Source organism: Homo sapiens, chromosome 2 (genome assembly GCF_000001405.40).
Source record: "Homo sapiens chromosome 2, GRCh38.p14 Primary Assembly".
Taxonomy (NCBI): Eukaryota; Metazoa; Chordata; class Mammalia; order Primates; family Hominidae; genus Homo; species Homo sapiens.
In genome coordinates this window covers 114014385-114039805 of record NC_000002.12, presented here as the reverse complement: position 1 = coordinate 114039805, position 25421 = coordinate 114014385, and the positions used below count along the sequence as shown (strand labels likewise).

The 25421-nt window shown below is 40.6% G+C and overlaps 1 long non-coding RNA gene across 1 annotated transcript in view; it reads right to left on the bottom strand.

Annotated features, from left to right (window-relative positions):
• Window positions 1–11723: 11723 nt before the first annotated feature.
• Window positions 11724–25421, bottom strand: part of LINC01191 (long intergenic non-protein coding RNA 1191) — a 58761-nt gene continuing 45063 nt past the window's right edge. Inside the window, exon 2 of the long non-coding RNA NR_148509.1 lies at window positions 11724–11965. This is a non-coding gene — a long non-coding RNA (long intergenic non-protein coding RNA 1191). The remainder of the gene's footprint in view (window positions 11966–25421) is intronic.

Here is a 25421-nt window from a genome sequence, read left to right as displayed (position 1 = left end):
GCTGCACCCCTTCCATGCCACTGATGGAGCAGAAATGAGTCCTGGGGACAGGCCCCACAGGAATAGGTAGGAAAATCAGGAAGCTTGGCCACCCAGCAGTAGGAATTAATACCATTTGGTTTCTAGGAAATGGAGTCATTAGCTAGTGCTTTCAAAAAGAAAGAAAGAAAAACCCTCTAGTGTAATAAGCTAAGCTAAAGAGAACGTAGGGCTCTGTAACCAACAGGCCTGGGACTATCAGCAGGACTGAAGCTTCAAAGAATACTGAGAGTTCAAGGAAGACTCATTTTCACTCCTAGACTCTACAGTGAGTGCACTTACAGCAGCAGTTGGGAGGGGGATTACTATATAAAGAGCAACCTTGCTGAGTTCAGATGTTACATTCTTTGAATAAATTTTCCTTAATACTGTTATGGCGTGTATTAAAAAGTATTTCTAAAATTACTGTACTAATGTACAGATCGAGTTGGTTGAAAAGGTGGACTGGTAGCTAGAATCTTTCAAATATTCACTTTCAAAAAAGGCCCCGTGGATGGACCACAGACTAGAAAGAGCTAGATGCCATGTGGTGGCAGACAGTTCTCACTGTAAACACAATGCCTGAAGCCTTAAAAAGATGTGTGGAACGAGTGTATCCAACAAAGTCTAGAACAGGGTTTCTCAGCTTTGTCACTTGATACGCTAAGCTGGATGGTTCTTTGTTTGGGGGCTATCCCCCGCATGATAGGGTGTTCAGAAGCATTCTTGGCCTCTACCCACTACATGCCAATAGCACCACTGTCCAAACTGTGAAAACCAAAAATGTATCATCCAGGGGGACAAAATCACACTTCCCCCCGATTGAGAACCACTAGTCTATACAGAGAAACAGAAATATGACATCATCAACTTGGGAAAACTTTGTGTTTACAGGCTAATTAAATGGTTCAAGGTAGGGATAGGACAGCACTCCCTGTATGTCAGCTCTATTCACACACTCTTAGCCCAGAATTGGCCACAACCCCAAAAGTCTTATTTGCCGTATTTTTGTTTTCCTTCCTTTGATTCTCTAGCATCTCTCTCTCCTTTATTTCATTTCTGGCCCTTTCCATTCTCCTTTCTGGCTCTTTTTTCTTTACTTGCTCCTAACTTTGGTGTTCTACCAAGCTTTACCCTTAACCCTCCATTCTGCCTTCCTAAGTTTAAATTTCACTTATCAGGCTGGGCATAGTGGCTCATGCCTGTAATTCCAGCACTTTGGGAAACCAAGGTGGGAGGATCACTTGAGGCCAGCAATTCAAGACCAGCCTCAACAACATAGTGAGACCCCATCTCTACAAAAATAAAAATAAAACAATTTGCTGGACATGGTGGTATGCACCTGTAGTCCCAGCTACTCAAGAAGCTAAGGCAGAAGAATTACTTGAGCCCAGGAGTTGGAGGTTACAGCAAGCTATGATTGCACCACTGCACTCTAGCCTGGGCAACGGAGAAAGATGCTGCCTCAAAAAGAGTTGTACTTATCCTGTGACCTCATTTCTCACCTACATGTTGATGACTGATTTCTAAATCCGTATCTTTAGCCCTGACCCCTGCGCTAAGCTTTAATTAAAACTTATAATTAAGTACTAAAACACTATTTAAGTATAAAAAAGTACTAAACTAGTATTCTATTATTCTCAACTAGATATCTGTATATATTTCACAGATATCTTAAAACCAAATTATCTAAAAGTATAAAAATTTTGTTATAAATATTTTAGGCAGCTTAGTCTCCTATCACCAACCATCTGTTCGAAATCTTGTCAAAATTATATCTCTCCTGTAAGGCCCCTCAGTCAACAGGTCACCAGGCACAGGTCTGGGCTCTCCTCTCCATTTCTGCTGCTGCCACCAAGGCCCAGACACTCTTTGGGACTGCAAAGCTGGCCTCCACATCTCCAGGCTTTCCCCCACTGCTGCCTGAGTCTCCTTCCAAAACACAGTTAGCATCCAATCCACCTCTTCCTCCTGTGCTTTTACCACAGTGACAGACTCGGTGATCCAGCCAGCTACCCAAACCAGAAACCTGAACCCCACTATTGACTCACCCACGAGGCAGCACAATCAGGATCTTTCTACCGGCGATCCATTCACTCCTCTCTTTCTACCTTTCCTACCTTAGCTTAAGAAGCTATTATTTCCTTTCTATTCAGCATAGTACTGGAAGTTCTAGGCAGAGCAATCAGACAAGAGAAATAAAGGGCATCCAAATTGGTAAAGAGAAAGTCAAACTGTCTCTATTTGGTGATGACATGATCATATGCCTAGAAAATCCTAAAGAGTCATTCAAAAAGTTTGTAGAACTGATAAATGAGTTCAGTAAAGTTTCAGGATACTAAATCAATGTACACAAATCAGTAGCACTGCTATACACCAACAGCAACTAAGTTGAGAATCAAATCAAGAACTTAACCCCTTTTACAATAGCTGCAAAAAAAATAAAATAAAATACTTAGGAATATATTTAACAAAAAACATGAAAGCTTTTACAAGGAAAACTACAAAAACATTGCTGAAAGAAACCATAGATGACACAAACAAATGGAAACACATCCCATGCTCATGGATGGGTAGAATCAATATTGTGAAAATGACCATACTGCTAAAAGCAATCTAGAAATTCAATGCAATTTCCATCAAAATACCACCATCATTCTTCACAGAACTAGAAAAAAATCCTAAAATTCATATGGAACCAAAAAAAAGAGCCTACATAGCCAAAGCAAGACTAAGCAAAAAGAACAAATCTGGAGGCATTACATTACCCAACTTCAAACTATACTATAAGGCCATAGTCAGCAAAACAGCATGGTACTGGTATAAAAACAGGCATATAGACCAATGGAACAGAATAGAGAAGCCAGAAATAAAACCAAATACTTACAGTCAACAGATCTCCAACAAAGCAAACAAAAACATAAAGTAGAAAAAGGAGACCCTATTCAACAAATGGTGCTGGGATAATTGGCAAGCCACATGTAGAAGAATGAAACTGGATCCTCATCTCTCACCATATAGAAAAATCAACTCAAGATGGATGAAAGATTTAAACCTAAGACCTGAAACCATAAAAATTCTAGACGATAACATTGGAAAAACCCTTCTAGACATTGGCTTAGGCAAAGACTTTATGACCAAGAACCCAAAAGCAAATGCAACAAAACAAAACAAACAAAAAAACAAAGATAAGTAGATGGACTTAAACTAAAAAGCTTCTGCACAACGAAATAATCAGCAGAGAAAACAGACAACCCTTTGTTTACTCAGAGTGGGAGAAAAATCTTCTCAATCTATACATCCAATCTATACATCCGACAAAGGACGAATATCCAAGAACTAATATCCAAGGAACACAGACAAACAATCCCATCAAAAAGTGGGCTAAGGACACGAATAGACAATTCTCAAAAGAAGATATACAAATGGCCATCAAACATATGAAAAAATGCTCAACATCACTAATGATCAGGGAAATGCAAATCAAAACCATGATGTGATACCACCTTACTCCTACAAGAATGGCCATAATCAAAAAAATAAAAACGAAAATAGATGTTGGTGTGGATGAGGTGAAAAGGGAACACTTTTACACTGTTGATGGGAATGTAAACTAGTACAACCACTATGGAAAATACTGTGGAGATTCCTTAAAGAACTAAAAGTAGCCCAGGTGTGGTGGCTTATGCCTGTAATCCCAGCACTTTGGGGGGCCAAGGTGGGCAAATCACTTGAGGTCAGGAGTTCAAGACCAGCCTAGCCAACATGGTGAAACCCTATCTCTACTAAAAATACAAAAATTAGCCAGGCGTGGTGGCCCATGCCCGTAGTCCCAGCTACTGGGAAGGTTGAGGCAGGAGAATCACTTGAACCTGGGAAGCAGAGGTTACAGTGAGCTGAGACTGCACCACTGCACTCCAGCCTGGGCAACAACAATAAAAAGAACTAAAAATAGATCTACCATTTGATCCAGCAATCCCACTCCTGGGTATCTATCCAGGGGAAAAGAAGTCATTACACAAAAAAGATACTTGCACATGTATGTTTATAGCAGAACAATTCACAATTGCAAAAATATGAAACCAGCCCAAATGCCCATCAAACAAAGAGTGGATAAAGAAAATGTGGTATATATATATATCCCATGGACTACTATTCAGCCATAAAAAGGAACAAAGTAATGGCGTTTGCAGCAATCTGGATGGAATTGGAGACCATTATTCCAAGTGAAGTAACTCAGGAATGGAAAACCAAACATCATATGTTCTCACTCGTGAGTGGGAGCTAAGCTATGAGGATGCAAAGGCATAAGAATGATACAATGGACTTTGGGGACTCAGGAGAAAGGGTGGGAGGGGGGTGAGGGATAAAAGACTATACACTAGATACAGTGTACTGTTTGGGTGATGGGTGCACCAAAATCTCAGAAATCACCACTAAAGAACTTATTCATGTAACCAAACCCCATCTGTTCCCCAAAAACCTATTGAAGTAAAAAAATAAAAAATAAAAACAATAAAAAAGAAGCTGTTATTTTTTGCCTAAACTCTTCAATCAAGTCTCCCTACCTCCAATGTTTGTCCCATCCCATTTATTTTATACCCAGTCACTAGAATGATCTTTAAAATGAAAATCTGCCATATGATCTGGCAATCCTACTTCTGGGTATTTATCCAAAAGAATAGGAAGCAGGGTCTGAAAGAGATATTTGCACACCCACATTCACTGCAGCACTATTCACAATAGCCAAGAGGTGGAAGCAATTCAAGTGTCCATTTATGGATGAATAAAGGAAATTTAGTGTCCACATACAAAGGAATGTTATTCAGCCTTAAAAAGAAAGGAAATGCTGTCACGTTACAAGTTGGACATTATGTTAAGTGAAATAAGCCAGTTACAAAAAGACAACTGTGTGATTCCACTTATATGAGGTAACTAGAGCAGTAAAACCTGTAAACACTAAAGGCAGAATAATGTTCCCAGGGGCTGGAGGGTTGAGCAAAGGAGAATGTTTTTCAATGAGTACAGAGTTTCAGTTTTGCTAGATGAAAAGGTTCTAGAGATCTGTTGTAACAACAGCATGAATATACTGAACACTACTGAACTGTGCACTTAAAATGGTAAAGATGGTAAATTTGATGTTATATGTTTACCACAATTTTTAAAAATTTAATTAAAATCTGTACATATAATTGCCTTGTGTAAACCCTTCCCCTTCCCTTTCTCTCTTGCCTTTGCACAATCTCTCAGCTCTGCTTGGAACCAGCTTCAAAATACCTCCCTTCCAGCGTATGCTGCTCCAGGCAAATGCCTCCAGGTTCTAGGGGATGACTCCTCTGTCAGTGCCTCCTGGAAGAGAGGCTCACATAGCCCCTAAATGTACCCCATGGGGCACTCACACTAAGGAAGTGAAGCCCATTCTCCATGTATGCTTACCCTAAAAACCGTGACATCCTAACATAGCCACTTCAGCATTTTTTACCTGTGTCCCTGTGCTCCCAGACCAAACTGAGGGTCGGGCTGCTATTTCTTGCAGCCTGATAACGAGATGTAGATGAACTAGGGAGGAAGAGAGCTTTTTTTATTTCTGTAACCAGTTACCAGGAGAAGGCTCAGAAAATATCGCCAGACCAACTCAAAATTACCAAGTTTTCCAGAGCTTATATACCTTCTAAGCTACATGTCTAAATGTAAGCATGCATTCCTCTAAAGACATAAGTGATAGCTTCTTTTAATCTACAATAGCTAAGGTCTGAGTCTTGAAGACCTTCCCCTGGAGCCTCAGTAAATTTACTTAATCTAAATGGGTCCAGGTGCTAGGTGATTACCCTTAACCTGCAGGTTTAAGGAGTTCCTTCAGACCCCCAATAAACTTGTTTGTGGAGGCCTGGGGAGTTTCTTCAGACCCCCAAATAAAACTTGTTTAATCCTAAATAGTCCCGTTAAGAATTCCTTCATTATCTTTTCATGGTTTAAGGCCCAGGAAAGATCTGGGCAAAACTCTTGGCGAGCTTTTGTTATATTCCAGCCTTTGTATAAGGGCACTAGCTCTTTTAACTTTTAATATTTCACTTACCTGCTCAGTGAGTACTAAAACAGTTGTTATGGAGGCCTGCATTAGTGAGACCTGGCCTGCCACACTTGGGAACGAACCTATGGCCCAGCTCATTTGCAAGGCATTCATCAGAACCCCGTGCTCTGCCTAAAAGGAATCTGCTGAATCATATTTGCTCCACCTTATTCCACCTGCAGCAAGTGCTACTCTTTTTTCCCCCAATCTGCCTCTTTCTGTGTAGTCTTCTCTTCTCACTGAATTTCCCGTAGTGCCTGGCCTGCCTTATCTAACGTCAGCCTTTTGGATTTCATTTTCCTTATGCTTCTCTCCTGGAGCAGCTGGATTCTGAAGCTTTTCATCAATGTATGTTTCTCCTCAGACAGTAGGCAGGATGACCCACTGAGCCATAAAAGTCTCATTTTAACTGAGACCAAATATGACACAGCAGTGGCAAGCTGGGATTATTTATATGCAGTTTAAGGGATAATCCTTCAATCCAATACTGTGAGCCATTGGAGAGCAGATTGGTGAAATCTTTTTCCACCTCTCTGTTTTGAAACAACGGCTTTATCATTATTCCATTCTAGTGAGGCAAACAGATTAGGAGATGATTGTAATGGAAAAGATAGCTTATTACTCACAGTTCCTAAGAGAAGGGGCATGCCACACCATGGGGGTTGGGGGCAGCAGGGGATGCCCTAGGTCAGTCCGGAGGCTGGAGGGGACAAGCAGAAAGTGTGGGTGAGAGACTTAGGTTTTTGAGGGAGGGAATGGGCAAGGCAGGGTATCCAGGCTCTGCAGGTTTAGGACTGGCTAGTTTGCATCGTTTCAGCGGGCTCTGGGGCCTAAGGGCTGTCTTGAGTTGTCTGAGTTGTACCTGGCCCCGGGCTGATTAGGTCAGAGGGAAAGTTGCCTCATAAAGTAGGTGTTTGGGGAATATGGGCTTTGGATTCATTGGTTTGCATATGGAAGTTGTGCTCACAGGGGAGTCATTTGCTATCTCTAGGAATTAGCTAGCCCCAGGAGGGCAGTCTCTCCCCAGTCAGCAAAGCCCCAAGATATCAAAGCATCATAAAATACATGGAATTAAAAACATGATTAATGCACTCTCCAACACCAGAATCAGAACATGGGGTATTCAGTATGGCTGCAGAGAGGACAAAGAAGGGGGAAAAATAAGGATAATTCCACTAATAACACTGTGGGTACCCAGGCTACAGCAGTTCTTGACTCTTATCAAGTTTATAAGAAAAATTCTCCCAGCTATGGATTAAAAATATCCATCCAATTTCTGAGAAGTCAGCTACTAAAACATTTGTTTTAGATTTCTTTTTATATGAAGTGATAAATATACATTTTCCCCCATGGAGAATATTTATGAAAACTTTTCTGGGAAACATCTTTTTGCTAAATATAGGGTCTCTAGAGACAGCTCGGGAAAGCAGCCTCCTGAATGTGCTGTCAGTTGTGACCTGCCAGTCTGAATTACCATATTTTTATATTGTAACTCACTTCCTTTAATGATATATATATATTCTACTAATGGTGTGAAAGGGATGGAAACTGGCAGTTTTAATAGTGTGTGATATATGTGCTCCCTCAGCGTTAAATGGGAGGTTTTGCCTGAAACAAGAATCGGCTTCGGCTGGCCTTCACTGGAGCGCGGACTTCAGTGTGACACTCAGCAGAGGTGACTTTGGTGGTGACATGGAGTGTGAATCCCATTTCCTCAGTGCACAGTAACGATGATGGCTGGTTTGGCAACTTCTGAGACTTTTATGCTCCCCTTTCTTCCTCCCTCCCACTTTGGTCCCTTTTTCCTGGCTCTCTTTTTTTTTCTCTCTCTCTCTCTCTCTTTTCCTGGATAAGGCTTCTAGCCCTCTCAGTGCTTACTGGAACTGATTGTCAATTCAAATGGCTCCACCGTGGGGTCATCCTGCTGGAGGAGAGGCGTGACTGTTATGTGTCTGCCTTTCAGAGATCCGGACATTTAAAATGAACACGGGCTTATGCAGCCGGACCATCAGCCATTGCATGCCTTCATGACTGCCCACACATCTTTCCAGATGCCCCAGTTCCACAAACCCAGCCAGTGAGAGCAAATGTGTATCTGGAGTGATGGATGTATGTCCTCCCTGTGTTTCGCTCTGTTCCCCTTTGCCTGTCATCATAACCCTGACTTACCCGATCCGTCCTCACACTCCGAATGCCCACCTGCTTGCAGAGATAGAAGAGGATGTGCTATTCACTATCTACACTTCAATCTAAGGGTCCTCTCTCCCAGACATTTTGCCCCTCATTTCTGACTATGGAGTAAAATATTTAGGTTCTCCTCAAAAAAATTTCAGATGTGATCTAGTAGGGAGAAGGGGAATAATTTGACAGGCTAGGAAGTGGCCCCTTCCTGGTGCCCTGACATCCCATGATGTGGGCAGCCTACGGGCCCCTCTGCCCAACAGATGGCATCAATGCCTTCTCACTGTTTGGATGGCAGCAGGAAAGGGCCCAGGCTTCCAAGCTTGTCAAGAATTTCCAGATGGGGCATGTCTGTTGTGGTCGTTTTCTATGACATACTGTGTTGGCCCCAGCAGAGACATGGATTGCACATGCATCTTGAACCCCATGAGTATAATCTCAGAAAATTGTCGCTATTTCAGCTTCTACCAGCTCTGCTCCCTCACTTCCTTTTTCTTTTGTTTATTTGTTTGTTTGTTTGTTGTTTAAGACAGGATCTCGCTCTGTCACCCAGGGTGAGTGCAGTGGTACAATCACGGCTCACAGCAGCCTCAATCTCCCAGGCTCAAGCAATCCTCCCATCTCAGCCTCCTGAGTAGCTGGGACTACAGTCGTGCACCACCATGCCCAGCTAATTTTTTTATTTTTATTTTTATTTTTCTGTAGAGATATGGGTCTCGCTTTGTTGCCCAGGGTGGTCTCGAACTCCTGGATGCAAGCAATCCTCCCATTTTGGCCTCCCAAAGTGCTGGGATTACAGGTGTAAGCCACCGCTCCTGGCCTTCTCTTCTTTCTTAAGAATGAAATCTGCAAACCCTCCTTCCCCAGCCCCATCAACTCTAACTGTTGTTTGGCTTCTGAACATCAGGTGTAACAAAAAAACTTTAAAACAAAAATTATGTAGGTGTTTTGAATAAAATGCAAAAAAAAAAAAAAAGAAAGGAAGGAAGTAATAAAGAAAGAACTGAAAGAAAGGATTACTCAAGAGAAACCTGACTGCATGAACATCAATCAAAAGACTATCACGCATAAGCCCGGTCCAGTATCTGTCTATTACAGGTAGCCCTTAAGAAGTGAAGAAACCTTGGTTTTTAAATCAAGCATGTAGACACAGGTAGAGAGTACTATAAATTAAAGCATTCTTTACAAGCTTAATAATTGAGGAGATACACAATGCATCTGTATTTGCAAACTAAATTTTGCAAAGTCCTCCCAAGATGAATTTCAAGCTTTAAGGCAATATCAATCATATTCTCAAATTTTTTCTTCAAACTTAGTACATATTAATTCTAAAGTTCACCTAAGAGAAAAAAAAACAGGTAAGCATAGTAAAAAAAAAAAACAACTTAAAGACTAATTTATATAGAATATACAGTCCAGAATTAGATTATATTAGAAAATAAGAATTTAACATAATACATATAAAAAGACATAAATCAATAAACATAAAGGTAGAAATACTCAATAATATTGGTTTTGCTGATTAGCAATAGGGGAAGAATGACTTTAGACACAATTAATATAATAAATAAATTTTACATGAATTAAGAAGTTCAATGTAAAGCTACAATCACGAAAATACAAATATAGATGCTCATAATTGACAGTTTAGTACATCTGGAAAGTTTGGAGGATAAAAGACTTTCTAAGTACTATATATGTGATAAAATAAATTAGAACAATGAACAGATTTGATAGAAAAATTAAAATACCCACACTAAAAGGAAAATTATTAACAAAAGAAAAAATACACTTGACAAATACAGTATAGAAGTGATTGATATTTTTGAGGCATAAAAGTTAATGCTTTGATTGTCTTCAGAATTCTTGGTGAAAAAAAAGTTAATGCAACTTGCAATGAATGCTAAGACCCGAATAAATAAAGCAGAAGACAATAAGAAAATAAATTTACAAACACAAAAGAAAACATTGTCAATTATAAAAATATGCAAATTAAAAAAACATTAAGGTACACGTTGTACATATTAAATTAACAAAATAAAAGTCTAATGGTAATTTATATTGCCAGTAATTGTGTATCAAAAATATTGTCATCTACATTGCATATAGCATTATAAATTGACATAATCCTTTTGGAAAATTATGTAGCAATATATTTCAGGAACCATATGAAAGATTATATCATTTGATTTAATAATTCTACTTTCATACAAAATATGGGAAAAGCTATATACATGAAGATGTTTGTCACATTCTTTTTAATAGCAGAAAACAAGTAAAAAAATGTCCAATGAAAAAAGAACACCTAAACTAGTTATGGAACTGTGGCAATTTTAAAATATCTGCAAACTCTTCCTTCCTTCTACCACTGAGACATATCCCCTCCCTTTGTCAAGGCTGACCTTGATTGCTAGTTAGCCAGTGGGGTACAGCCAAAGGGGTGCTATGTGAAAGTCACAGAAGACAATGCACCATCTGCCTGGCTTGCTAGAATATTTGTGCTGGAGCCCTGAGCCATCACATAAGATGTCCCAGCATCCTGAGGCTGCCATGTTGTGAGGAAGCCCAAACTGGCCCATGTGGAAGTCCACACTGAGATGCTCTAAGATTACATAAAAAGAGAGGAGGCACCCCCAGCCCCCAGCTGCCCAGGTCCAGCCAGAGTTGTGACAGCAACTCTGTGAGCTCAAACCATCCAGCCAAGTTCTTCCTAACCCTCTGACACACACAAACCAGGAGAGATAATACAATGATTGTTGTGGCTTTAAATTGCTAAGTTCTGAGTGGCTTGTTGCATGGCAATAGATGCCTAGAGCACAGATCTCTACTGCAGAGAACAAGGTACAGCCATTCAAACACTCAATTTAAAAGACTATGTAAAAACATAGCTTATTTTTCATAATATTTAGTTTAAAAATACATAAAATGTTGTGTATATTATGATTGTAGCCATTAAAAATCAATATTAAAAAGGACTTGAGTAATCACAGTGGTTCTTACAGGACCTAACAGTGACGTTAGTAACATTGATGTTACTAACAATGATGTTAGGTCATGTAAGAACCAATGTGATGGTATTATTTTTGGTTATTATTGGTGGTATTATCAATAATGCCATATTGATGGTACTATTTTTCTAATATCTAAACTTACTAAAATATAATTCTAATGATTGTGTAATTAATTAATGAGAATTACCTGTCCCTCAAAGGAGAAAAAGTAAGAGTAAAGATATTTTATCTTAAAATATTGCATGAGAAAAATGAAAAAAATCTAAAACTTTAGAAGCACAAAACAGTGTGACCAAATTCACCCCTTTCCCAAGAGTGATTATAGATTGAGATGGAGCCCCTGAGGTTTGTGTGTTAAAATGTAAAAGTTGTATCCTCTGTGTTTCTAGAGTTTGAAGGGAGCCCGTGAACATTGCCCATGGCCCAATATGCACTCCAAGGGATCAGTTAATCTTGTTGCTTTTATTTTCTTAAGACAAGTTATATAGGTGTTGTTTATATAATGCACACAACATAGAAATGTTTGAAATGCCTGAAGAAATTCTGGATTTAGAGTCTTCTCTCTCAGGACTGGCTTCCAGACATCCACTCACAGCATGTCTCCTCGTGTCCAGGATCTCTGGGAGATACTCAGTCCCTTCCATCAGGAACACATGTGGCTGCCCATAGCTCAGTGGCCTATCAACTAAAGGACACACATGCATAAACTCAATGTGCAATGATGGAGTAACACTCAATAACAGCAAATAAGACTACTGTCAGTAACAGAGAGGCTCAGGAAGCACATGGCAGTCACTGGCCATTGTAGTTTCTCAAATCCCACAGGGCAAGGATTGAGAAGGCCCCTCCTAGGCTGTGGAGTAAGTTGCTTGGTGGCCCATCTGGCACCGTGTGTGTCATGCTGGAAGAGTGGGGAAGGCCTTGGAGAGTGTGCTGTCCTTGGAGGCTGCCAGCTTGCATAGCCTACTTTCTGCTCATACAGGTTGGGGATCAGGGGCATTGCTGGAAGGATGGAACAATTACAGGCTTTTGCAGGGAAGATAGTGGTTGCTTATAGCAATAAAATTCCCTCAAACTTCTTACCTATGTATTTGCCTGCAGTCAGTCACTCTGTGTGCAAGATCCTATCTAGACCTAATATTTACGCCTAAGACCCTAGTCTGGAGTTTGGCAAATGCTTCCTGTAAAGGGCCAAATAGTAAATATTTTAGGCTTTCTGGGCCAAAAGGCAAAATCAAGGATATTATGTAGGTACTTATGTAATAAGAGAGAAAACAAATGTCCACAAATTTTTTTTCATCATTTTTTAACTCAGGGTCACACAAAAACAAGTGGCAAGCTAGATTTGTTCAGTAGATTTGCCCGGGTTGCCAACCCCACTCTGGTCTGTTACTCACCAGCTCCTGCATGCCATACCCTTCTCTTTCATCTTCATACTGGCCACCATGAGACCATCTGAACTACAGGCTTGTAGAGGGAAGGCAGCACCCAATCTCATCTGTGCTGCCTTTTGTCTTTTTTTTTTTTTTTTTTTTTTGAGACGGAGTCTCGCTCTGTCACCTAGGCTGGAGTGCAGTGGCATGATCTCGGCTCACAGCAACCTCCGCCTCCCAGGTTCAAGCATTTCTTCTGCCTCAGCCTCCCAAGTAGCTGGGAATACAGGCTCCTGCCACCACGCCCAGCTAATTTTTTGTATTTTTAGTAGACACAGAGTTTTGCCGTGTTAGCCAGGATGGTCTCGATTTCCTGACCTCGTGACCCACCTGCCTCAGCCTCCCAAAGTCCTGGGATTACAGGTGTGAGCCACAGCGCCCAGCTGTCTTTTGCCTTTTTACTTTGCCGATGGTGGTGTTTGCCAGTCAACTCTCAATAGAAGATGCTTAAGAAAAGCCTGCAGCCATAAACTTATCTCCTGGTCAAGCTGCCCCCTCAGTCGTGAGCCACTGCTTCAGTTTGCAGTGCAAATGGAATGAGTGCTTTCCACTCTGCCAGGCCCCCGGTTATCGGACTCTCAGTTGACTTAGATTTTCAGACACCACCAACTCTGGCCAGAGATCATCTCTGTTACGTCAAGTGTCAAGAACCAGCCGACGAGCACTGCATGCCAAAATTTTCCCACCAGTTTCCTAATGCTGTAGACCCAATCTGTCCTGGTCTGCTCCCCACACACTCAAGGAACAGTTTTTATCAAAAGTTTTGCCACCACCTAGCAAGGTTCAGCAGCTGGCCGGCCTGCAATATCTGTGTTTTTTTAACTTTTATTTTAAGTTCAGAGGTACACGTGCAGGTTTGTTCCATGGGTAAATGTGTGTCGCAGGAGTTTGTTGCAGAGATTATTTCATTGGCAAGATACTAAGTCTAGTACCCATTAGTTACTGCTCCTAATCCTCTCCCTCTTCCCACCCTCTATCCTCAGATAGGCCCCGGTTTGTGTTGTTCCCTTTTATGTGTCCATGTGTTCTCATCATTTATTTAGGTTGATACAAAAGTAATTGAGGTTTTTTGCCATTACTTTTAATAGCAAAAACCACAATTGCTTTTGTGCCAACTTATAGCTCCCACTTACGTGTGAGAACGTGCAGTAATTGGTTTTCTATTCCTGTGTTAGTTTACTAAAGATAATGGCCTCCAGCTCCATCCATGTCCCCACAAAGGACATAATCAGGTTCCTTTTTGTTAACCTGCAATATCTGTATCTTCACACCTACTGCCTGCCACTTCAACTAATCCTATGTCACAAGCTAAGGTTCTGTGACTTATAGCCTCCACTTCAGGGATCAGATTCTATTTCATAGCTATTGTATTCTTGACCTTGATTTCATAATCTGAGATTACAGTATCAGCTTCCACAGAGGAGAGAGGAAGAGACAAAGTCAAAAAGAAAAAAAGGGCAAGTTCAAGATGCTTTTTAAAGAAGGATCTTATGAGCTGCTAAATGATGCTTTTGCTCACAGATCATCGGCCAGAAGGTATTGACATGGCCCCATACCTAACTAAAAGAGGGGCTAAGAAATGCAGTCTCCATCCTGGACAGCCATATGCCTAGTCAAAAAATGGGGTTCTATCAACTTTGTAAGTGAGAGCGGTAAGTAGGGCTGACCAGCAGTCTCTGCCATAGAAAGGTACCAGTATAATTCCCATTTTGAAGATGACAACACCGAGGCTTAAAGAGGCTAAGTGTTGCTTGAGAGTATGTGATAAAGCCAATTCCAGCCTGTGCCACCTGAGAAGTCTCCTGTTCTTAACAAAGGGTCAACTGGCTTGTATGTATTCTTCACACAAACAGCTTGGGGGTGCTCTTCCAACCTACGGATAAGGCAGATTCTGGTAAAGGAAACAGCTGTGGGTTTCGGGTCTGATGGCTTTTGAAAGGTTGACATTTCTTAGCAGAATTCTCAGACTAAGTTTGGGAAGATAGGGGTGGGGGGAAGAAAGCTATGGTCCATCAAAGGAAAAACAAAATATGCTATATCCATAAAATAGAGTATTATTTGGCCATAAGTGGGAATGAAATACTGATGAGTATTACAACATGGATGAACATTAATAACATGCTAAGTGAAAGAAGCCAGTGACAAAGAAACATATATGGTAAGATTTCATTTCTATGAAAGGTCCAGTGTAGGCAAATCCAGACATGGATGGTAGATCAGTGGTTGCTTGGGGTTGGGGAATGAGGAAAGGAGAGTGACTGCTAAGGGGCATAGAGGCTTTTTGGGGGAGACGAAAATATTCTAGAATTGATTGTGGTGATAGTTAAAAGCTCTGGGAATATACTAACAGCCATTGTATTATATCCTTCAGATGGGTGAATTGTGAGATATGTAAATTTTATCTCAACACATCTGTCACCAAAATAAAAAGTCCGTGGAGACACTGAAACACAAAAGTTACCTCAAGGTAGAAGCTTGATGTACACATGAATATTTCGTGTCGTTACGGAAATATTTCATAATAGTTCATGAAAAGTTATGCAGTGTGGGAACATGTTACAGTAAAGTCAGCCAATGTTAGGAATCACAAGTTGTAGTTGCCATGGAAAAGATTAAACAAAAGGAGAAGGAAAGAAAGAAGGAAGAAAAGGAAGCTATGACAATCGAGAAGTGCAGGACGAATGAAATATCCCTTAAAACTGTTAAAATGTTTTTATGCTTGTTATAGACTGATGATAAACCATCCTTGACATGTTTCATGACTCAATATAAGACCAAACATTCTGCATTTGCACTGAAAAATCATGTTAGAAAAAGGAACTTTCTTTAGTGGTGTTGACTTGTTCAGGCAACACAGATGGTGCCAAGCACTCTCCTCCACCTAAGGCCTAGAAAGAATTATTCAAAATTTCAAAGCCAGACACTTCAGAGATCACCTTCTCAGTAATTAGCCTCAGAAATTAATCCCTGCTTATTTTACAGGTCAAGCAACTAAATAATCTTTGTGTTCAGTGATTTTTCCAAGGTGATGAATCCAATAGGAGCAGATCTTCTGATCCCCCAACCCCTGGCGATTATATAATACTTTAATCCACACCAAGCTCAATCCCAAAATAGAACTGAAGAAACTCAGTGAAAAGATTCAAAGTTAAGAAACTTTTGTTTAGTGTAAGCATTCTCAATAACTGTAGTTCATAGGAATGAAAATATTATTGTAAAACAAGAACAATGAAGAATCATGTGTAACTATTCACTATGACCTCTAAGAAGGAAGAATTCCTTCAAGCCAGGTCAGCTTCAGGTCTGCAAGTATAGAGATTCTGAACAGGACAAAAGGGAGAAGAGAGAGAAAAAATACATTTTCAAGCTTCAGGTGATAGTTTTTAGGGATAAGGAAGTGAAAGGAGAAGACAAAGGCTTTCAAGAGACATCTGCTACCCTAGAAAAGGACATTAAAAAGAGGAGTGATGGGGAAAGTATGTTCAAGATGGTGACTGTGTAATAAGAAGGAACTAGCCTCACATATACACTATGTGAGGAATGCTATGCAGTCATAAAAGAGAATAAATTCATGTCCTTTGCAGGGACATGAATGAAGCTGGAAACCATCATCCTCAGCAAACTAACACAGGATCAGAAAACCAAACATTGCATGTTCTCACTTATAAGTGGGAGTTGAACAATGAGAACACATGGACACAGGGAGGGGAACATCACACACCGGGGCCTGTCAGAGGGTGGGGAAAAGAGGAGGGAGAGCATTAGGACAAATACCTAATGCATGCGAGACTTAAAACCTAGATGATGGGTTGATAGGTGCAACAAACCACCATGACACATGTATACCTATGTAAAAAACCTGCAAGTTCACCACATGTATCCCAGAACTTAAAATAAAATGAAATAAAATAAAGAACTAGCTTCTTTTCCATTTCAATAAGAAATCAAGTAAAAAAGTGAAATATTTATAATCATCTCTTGGCCACTTTATTAGACATGCTTAACATTCTGTAATGGAATTACCACTGTGAATATCCTATCTTGAGTTTTAATAATATTGCAAGGCAAGGCAACGGAAAGAGCTTTGGTTTTAGAGTCTGGGCTCCTAGGAGGATGTGGATGGACCCTCTCAGCCTCTGCTTGCTCATCTGTTGGGTGGAGGTCATCATTCCTGCCTGTATTAGTCAGGGCTCTCCAAAGAAACTGAGCCAATGGGATATATACAGGGAGAACTATTTATGTTAAGGAATTGGCTCAAGGGGTTGTGGCCACTGGCAAGCCTGAAATTTGTAGGGCAGATCAGCAGGCTAGAAATTCAAGTCAGAGTTGATGTCTTGAGTACAAATTCTGCAGGGCAGCAGGCTGGAGGCTCAAGCAGGGTTACTATATTACAGTGGTAAGGAAAATTCCTTGTTATTCTTTGGGAAACTTTAGTCTTTGTTTGGGCCTTCAACTGATTGGATGAGGCCCAATCTCATGGTCATGGGTAATCTGCTTTGCTAAAGTCAGCTGATTGCGAATGTGAATCACTTCTTTAAAAATATCTTTATACAACATCTAGACTAGTGTTTGACTAAACGATTGGTCATCATAGTCCGACCAAGTTGACACATAAAGTTAATCATCACACTGCCCTCCTGCCTTATGAGTCATTAGTAATGCATCATTCTTACACCTTTTCTTTATTGCTTTCTCTCAAGCACCTATTTAGCACCTGGCACACAATAGTCACAAAATAAATATTTAGTGGATGTATGGTAGGATAACACTTGGAAATTATGAACAAATATATATGCTAGGCTTGACCAGTGCGGTTTGGGAGAATATGTATATTTTTGAGCATAGACACTGAAGTCTCACCCATTCATGCCTTAAATTCACCATTAAGCTAACACAACAGCCCAGCTACTCTACTTCCAGAAATTATTTCCACAGATATACTCACACAAATGCAAACTGGCTTAGAAAAAAGATTATTTACTGCAACAGGGTTTGTAAAACAAAAGTTCAAAACAACCTAAATGTCCATCAATATGAAATTTGACTAAATGAACTCAACAGAATTTGAAGGGCTGAAGAAGCTCTTTATATACTGCTGTGGAAAGATCTACAAGATAGATATACTGTTAAGCAAAAACAACAAGGAGCATAACAACAAGGATAGAATGATACTAGCTGTATAAAAGAGAGAAAAGAAGGGCTATATAAAAGATATAAATGTATCCTTTATGCATAATATATATTCCTAAAAGTACATAATAAATCATATTGGAGAGAGGCACTGGGAATCTGGGAGAAGGAGGTGGGACTGAGACATTTTACTAAATGTTCACTTACATCTTTTTAATTTTGAACCACATGAGTATACTGCTGATTAAAAATCAAATTTGAAGAAGGAAAGAAAATGAGTTTGTTTAGTACCTGATTTAAAAATAAACAAGCAAATAAGTTGGTTATTTTTTTCTAAGCTTACTTATACCTACTTTTGAACTTTATGTTATCTCTTCTGGGATTTGAGAATGACCATCTCATGGGATGGGAGGTATTGAGAAAACTAATGTAGGCTCAATTTCAGTAGGGGGAAGACTTAAATTTTAGATTTGGGGATTGATGTTTGACTTGTAACAGAGCCTCCTCTTGAGGAAGGAAAGAAAGAGAGAGAACAAAGAGTTAGCTCAGAGGAATATTCCAGGAAATCGATCTGAGTCAGAAGCAGCAGGAAAAGTTTTTTAAGAAAGCAGGTGAAACACATTGGCCCAAACATAGCAACAGCGTAAAAAGAAATCCTAAATTATTTAGTTTAAAGACAGGACTCCAATGTCTTTACTGCATGCAGCCCATCAGAACTAAAACAAGCAGATCAGGAGAAGATTTTAGAAGATATTGTAAAAGGTGTATCCTAAGAAAATCAAGCTTGCAAACTGGCAACTCTCAGTTGGCCAGAGGTTGGCAATTCAATCTGTGAATCCAAACTGATTTTCCGTCTCTTTCAGATCTCTGCTATTTGCTTTCTAACATTTCAGCAACTCTCTCAAGCCTGGGAGGGAGCAGAAAAACAAAATCTGAATAGTTTGTCCGGGAATTTGGATTATCAGAGTTTTTTTTTAAATTCCTCTTCCAAAAACTGATATTTCTCTAGATCATAATCTCTGCTATTTGTCAACTGTGTGGTCTGTTTCTTGCTGTATCAGTCAGGATATGCTGGGTTATGCTGCAGTAACAAACATCCCCCAAGTCTTAGAAGCTTTAAAATAACAATGGTTTATGTCTCAGTCGTGCAAAGTATAACCTAAGTTCTTGCACCTTCCAGACAACACCTACTTGCATGGTCACTGCAGGAGGGAAGAGAAGCACACACCAGGACCAGCTCTCAAATACTTCCAACCAGAAGTGACCTGCCCCTCCTCCACTCACATTCCACTGAACAGAAAAATCACATAGAATGTCCATCTTCAGAGGGGAGAAGTACAATCCTACTGTGTCTAAAGGAGGACAGGAGGAAATACTGTCTTTCTCACTCTCTGCTCCTAAATATAAGAAGCCTTGCTATTATTGGGGTGGTTTTTTTTTGTTTTTTTGTTTCTTTGTTTGTTTTTGAGATGGAGTCTCACTCTATCACCCAGGCTGGAGTACAGTGGCATGGTCTTGGCTCACTACAACCTCCACCTCCCAGGTTCAAGGGATTCTCCTGCCTCAGCCTCTCAAGAACCTGGGATTACAGACATGCACCACCACGCCCAGCTAATTTTTGTATTTTAGTAAAGATGGGGTTTTACCATGTTGGCCAGGCTGGTCTCGAACACCTGACCTCAAGTGATCCACCTCCCTCGGCCTCCCAAATTGCTAGGATTACTGGCATGAGCCACCACACCTGGCCTTGGGTTTTATTTTAATTTTTGAAACTTGTGTGTTACGGAGTTTTTTTCCTGATGCTTGAGGATAAGAGTGCCTGAATGAATTAACTTGTGAGACACAAGTTTGGCCACTCCTGGCCTGCTTCTTCTCTGACATAAACTACAATTTGAAAGTTCTTTTCATACACCAAGGCAACCCTAAGGGATCCATTAGCAGTAGCTATTCCATAGGTTTCCATTTTCTTGAGCCATTCTCATTCCTTTTGTCACACTTCCTTGTCATTAATGACAAAAATTTGTAAAATTAGAGAATTCTGTTATCTTGGAACCAAGTTTCAGAATGTCTAAACTGACAAGGCCCTTAGCAAATGCTTCCAACTCACCAATTTCCCACTTCACATTGCAGAGGGGAAACCTGAAGTCCAAAAATGGAAATGACTTGCCAAAAATTACAAAGCAAATACATGAGCATTGTTTTATTTTATTGTATTTCATTTTATTTTATTTATTTATTTTTTTGAGACAGAGTCTTGCTCTGTTGCCCAGGCTGGAGTGCAGTGGCGGGATGTCGGCTCACTGCAAGCTCTGCCTCCCAGGTTCACGCCATTCTCCTGCCTCAGCCTCCCTAGTAGCTGGGACTACAGGCACCCGCTACCAAGCCCAGCTAATTTTTTTGTAATTTTTTTAGTAGAGATGGGGTTTCACTGTGTTAGCCACGATGGTCTCGATCTCCTGACCTCATGATCTGCCCGCCTCGGCCTCCCAAAGTGCTGGGATTACAGGCATGAGCCACCGTGCCCAGCTGTGGGCAGTTTTAAACCACTAAATATGTAGTAATTTGTTACATAGCAATAGAAAACTAATGGAAAGTTGTGATCTTTCAAGAGTGCTTATATTTTAACTAGGCCCATATTAAGACCTAAAGCACTAATAGACACTAAAAGCTATAAAAAGACCTTGGCATTCCACAGGTGCTTATGTATGTAACTCAAAATATAACGTTATTTTTTGAAATTACACATAGCTTACATGTATGGTGTAATATAAATGAGTTCCTTATAGATTTTCTGATTACAAAAGTCTGAATCTTCTCATTAAAATAAAACTTTTCAGAGGGCAGCCAAATTGGCCGAATAGGAATAGCTCTGGTCTACAGCTCCCAGCGTGAGCGACACAGAAGACTGGTGATTTCTGCATTTCCATCTGAGGTACTGGGTTCATCTCACTAGGGAGTGCCAGACAGTGGGCGCAGAACAGTGGGTGCAGCGCACCATGTGCAAGCCAAAGCAGGGCGAGGCATTGCCTCACTCGGAAAGCACAAGGGGTCAGGGAGTTCCCTTTCCTAGTCAAAGAAGGGGGTGACAGACGGCACCTGGAAAATTGGGTCACTCCCACCCTAATACTGCACTTTTCCAACAGGCTTAAAAAATGGTGCACCAGGAGATTATATCCTGCACCTGGCTCAGAGGGTCCTACGCCCACAGAGTCTCGCTGATTGCTAGCACAGCAGTCTGAGGTCAAACTGCAAGGCGGCAGCAAGGCTGGGGGACGGGCACCCGCCATTGCCCAGACTTGCTTAGGTAAACAAAGGAGGTGGGAAGCTCGAACTGGGTGGAGCCCACCACAGCTCAAGGAGGCCTGCCTGCCTCTCTAGGCTCTACCTCTGGGGGGCAGGGCACAGACAAAAAGACAGCAGTAATCTCTGCAGACTTAAATGTCCCTGTCTGACAGCTTTGAAGAGAGCAGTGGTTCTCCCAGCACGCAGCTGGAGATCTGAGAACAGGCAGACTGCCTCCTCAAGTGGGTCCCTGACCCCTGACCCCCGACCAGCCTAACTGGGAGGCACCCCCCAGTAGGGGCAGACTGACACTTCACAGGGCCGGGTACTCCTCTGAGACAAAACTTCCAGAGGAACGATCAGACAGCAGCATTTGCCGTTCATGAAAATCTGCGGTTCTGCAGACACCGCTGCTGATACCCAGGCCAAACAGGGTCTGGAGTGGACCTCTAGCAAACTCCAACAGACCTGCAGCTGAGGGTCCTGTCTGTTAGAAGGAAAACTAACAAACAGAAAGGACATCCACACCAAAAACCCATCTGTACATCACCATCATCAAAGACCAAAAGTAGATAAAACCACAAAGATGGGGACAAAACAGAGCAGAAAAACTGGAAACTCTAAAAAGCAGAGCACCTCTCCTCCTCCAAAGGAACACAGTTCCTCACCAGCAATGGAACAAAGCTGGACAGAGAATGACTTTGATGAGTTGAGAGAAGAAGGCTTCAGACGATCAAACTACTCCGAGCTACAGGAGGAAATTCAAACCAAAAGCAAAGAAGTTAAAAACTTTGAAAAAAATTTAGATGAATGTATAACTAGAATAACCAATACAGAGAAGTGCTTAAAGGAGCTGATGGAGCTGAAAGCCAAGGCTCGAGAACTACGTGAAGAATGCAGAAGCCTCAGGAGCCGATGCGATCAACTGGAAGAAAGGGTATCAGTGATGGAAGATGAAATGAATGAAATGAAGCGAGAAGGGAAGTTTAGAGAAAAAAGAATAAAAAGAAATGAACAAAGCCTCCAAGAAATATGGGACTATGTGAAAAGACCAAATCTACGTCTGATTGGTGTATCTGAAAGTGACGAGAAGAATGGAACCAAGTTGGAAAACACTCTGCAGGACATTATCCAGGAGAACTTCCCCAGTCTAGCAAGGCAGGCCAACATTCAGATTTAGGAAATACAGAGAACGCCACAAAGATACTCCTCAAGAAGAGCAACTCCAAGACACATAATTGTCAGATTCACCAAAGTTGAAATGAAGGAAAAAATGTTAAGGGCAGCCAGAGAGAAGGGTCGGGTTACCCACAAAGGGAAGCCCATCAGACTAACAGCGGATCTCTCAGCAGAAACTCTACAAGCCAGAAGAGAGTGGGGGCCAATATTCAACATTCTTAAAGAAAAGAATTTTCAACCCAGAATTTCATATCCAGCCAAACTAAGTTTCATAAGTGAAGGAGAAATAAAATACTTTACAGACAAGCAAATGCTGAGAGATGTTGTCACCACCAGGCCTGCCCTAAAAGAGCTCCTGAAGGGAGCACTAAACATGGAAATGAACAACCGGTACCAGCCGCTGCAAAATCATGCCAAAATGTAAAGACCATCGAGACTAGGAAGAAACTGCATCAACTAACGAGCAAAATAGCCAGCTAACATCATAATGACAGGATCAAATTCACACATAACAATATTAACTTTAAATGTAAATGGACTAAACGCTCCAATTAAAAGACACAGACTGGCAAATTGGATAAAGACTCAAGACCCATCAGTGTGCTGTATTCAGGAAACCCATCTCACTTGCAGAGACACACATAGGCTCAAAATAAAAGGATGGAGGAAGATCTACCAAGCAAATGGAAAACAAAAAAAGGCAGGGGTTGCAAACCTAGTCTCTGATAAAACAGACTTTAAACCAACAAAGATCAAAAGAGAGAAAGAAGGCCATTACATAATGGTAAAGGGATCAATTCAACAAGAAGAGCTAACTATCCTAAATATATATGCACCCAATACAGGAGCACCCAGATTCATAAAGCAAGTCCTGAGTGACCTACAAAGAGACTTAGACTCCCACACAATAATAATTGGACACTTTAACACCCCGCTGTCAACATTAGACAGATCAATGACACGGAAAGTTAACAAGGATACCCAGGAATTGAACTCAGCTCTGCACCACGTGGACTTAATAGACATCTACAGAACTCTCCACCCCAAATCAACAGAATATACATTTTTTTCAGCACCACACCACACCGATTCCAAAATTGACCACATAGTTGGAAGTAAAGCTCTCCTCAGCAAATGTAAAAGAACAAAAATTATAACAGATGGTCTCTCAGACCACAGTGCAATCAAACTAGAACTCAGGATTAAGAAACTCACTCAAAACCACTCAACTACATGGAAACTGAACAACCTGCTCCTGAATGACTACTGGGTACGTAACGAAATGAAGGCAGAAATAAAGATGTTCTTTGAAATAACGAGAACAAAGACACAACATACCAGAATCTCTGGGACACATTCAAAGCAGTGTGTAGAGGGAAATTTATAGCACTAAATGCCCACAAGAAAAAGCAGAAAAGATCCGAAATTGACACTTAACATCACAATGAAAAGAACTAGAAAAGGAAGAGCAAACACATTCAAAAGCTAGCAGAAGGCAAGAAATAACTAAAATCAGAGCAGAACTGAAGGAAATGGAGACACAAAAAACCCTTCAAAAAATTAATGAATCCAGGAGCTGGTTTTTTGAAAGGAACAACAAAATTGATAGACCACTAGCAAGACTAATAAAAAAAAAAAAGGAGAGAAGAATCAAATAGATGCAAAAAAAAATGATAAAGGGGATATCACCACCGATCTCACAGAAATACAAACTACCATCAGAGAATACTACAAACACCTCTACACAAATAAACTAGAAAATCTAGAAGAAATGGATAAATTCCTCGACACATACACCCTCCCAAGACTAAACCAGGAAGAAGTTGAGTCTCTGAATAGACCAATAACAGGCTCTGAAATTGTGGCAATAATCAATAGCTTACCAACCAAAAAGAGTCCAGGACCAGATGGATTCACAGCCGAATTCTACCAGAGGTACAAGGAGTAACTGCTACCATTCCTTCTGAAATTATTCCAATCAATAGAAAAAGAGGGAATCCTCCCTAACTCATTTAATGAGGCCAGCATCATCCTGATACCAAAGCCGGGCAGAGACACAACCAAAAACGAGAATTTCAGACCAATATCCTTGATGAACATTGATGCAAAAATCCTCAATAAAATACTGGCAAACCGAATCCAGCAGCACATCAAAAAGCTTATCCACCATGATCAAGTGGGCTTCATCCCTGGGATGCAAGGCTGGTTCAATATACGCAAATCAATAAATGTAATCCAGCATATAAACAGAACCAAAGACAAAAACCACATGATTATCTCAATAGATGCACAAAAGGCCTTTGACAAAATTCAACAACCCTTCATGCTAAAAACTCTCAATAAATTAGGTATTGATGGGACGTATCTCAAAATAATAAGAGCTATCTATGACAAACCCACAGCCAATATCATCCTGAATGGGCAAAAACTGGAAGCACTCCCTTTGAAAACTGGCACAAGACAGGGATGCCCTCTCTCACCACTCCTATTCAACATAGTGTTGGAAGTTCTGGCCAGGGCAATTAGGCATTAGAAGGAAATAAAGGTATTCAATTAGGAAAAGAGGAAGTCAAATTGTCCCTGTTTGCAGATGACAGGATTGTATATCTAGAAAACCCCATTGTCTCAGCCCAAAATCTCCTTAAGCTGATAAGCAACTTCAGCAAAGTCTCAGGATACAAAATCAATGTACAAAAATCACAAGCATTCTTATACACCAATAACAGACAGAGAGCCAAATCATGAGTGAACTCCCATTCACAATTGCTTCAAAGAGAATAAAATACCTAGGAATCCAACTTACAAGGGACGTGAAGGAGCTCTTCAAGGAGCACTACAAACCACTGCTCAATGAAATAAAAGAGGATACAAACAAATGGAAGAACATTCCATGCTCATTGATAGGAAGAATCAATATTGTGAAAATGGCCATACTGCCCAAGGTAATTTATAGATTCAATGCCATCCCCATCAAGCTACCAATGACTTTCTTCACAGAATTGGAAAAAACTACTTTAAAGTTCATATGAAACCAAAAAGGAGCCTGCATTGCCAAGTCAATCCTGGGCCAAAAGAACAAAGCTGGAGGCATCACGCTACCTGACTTCAAACTATACT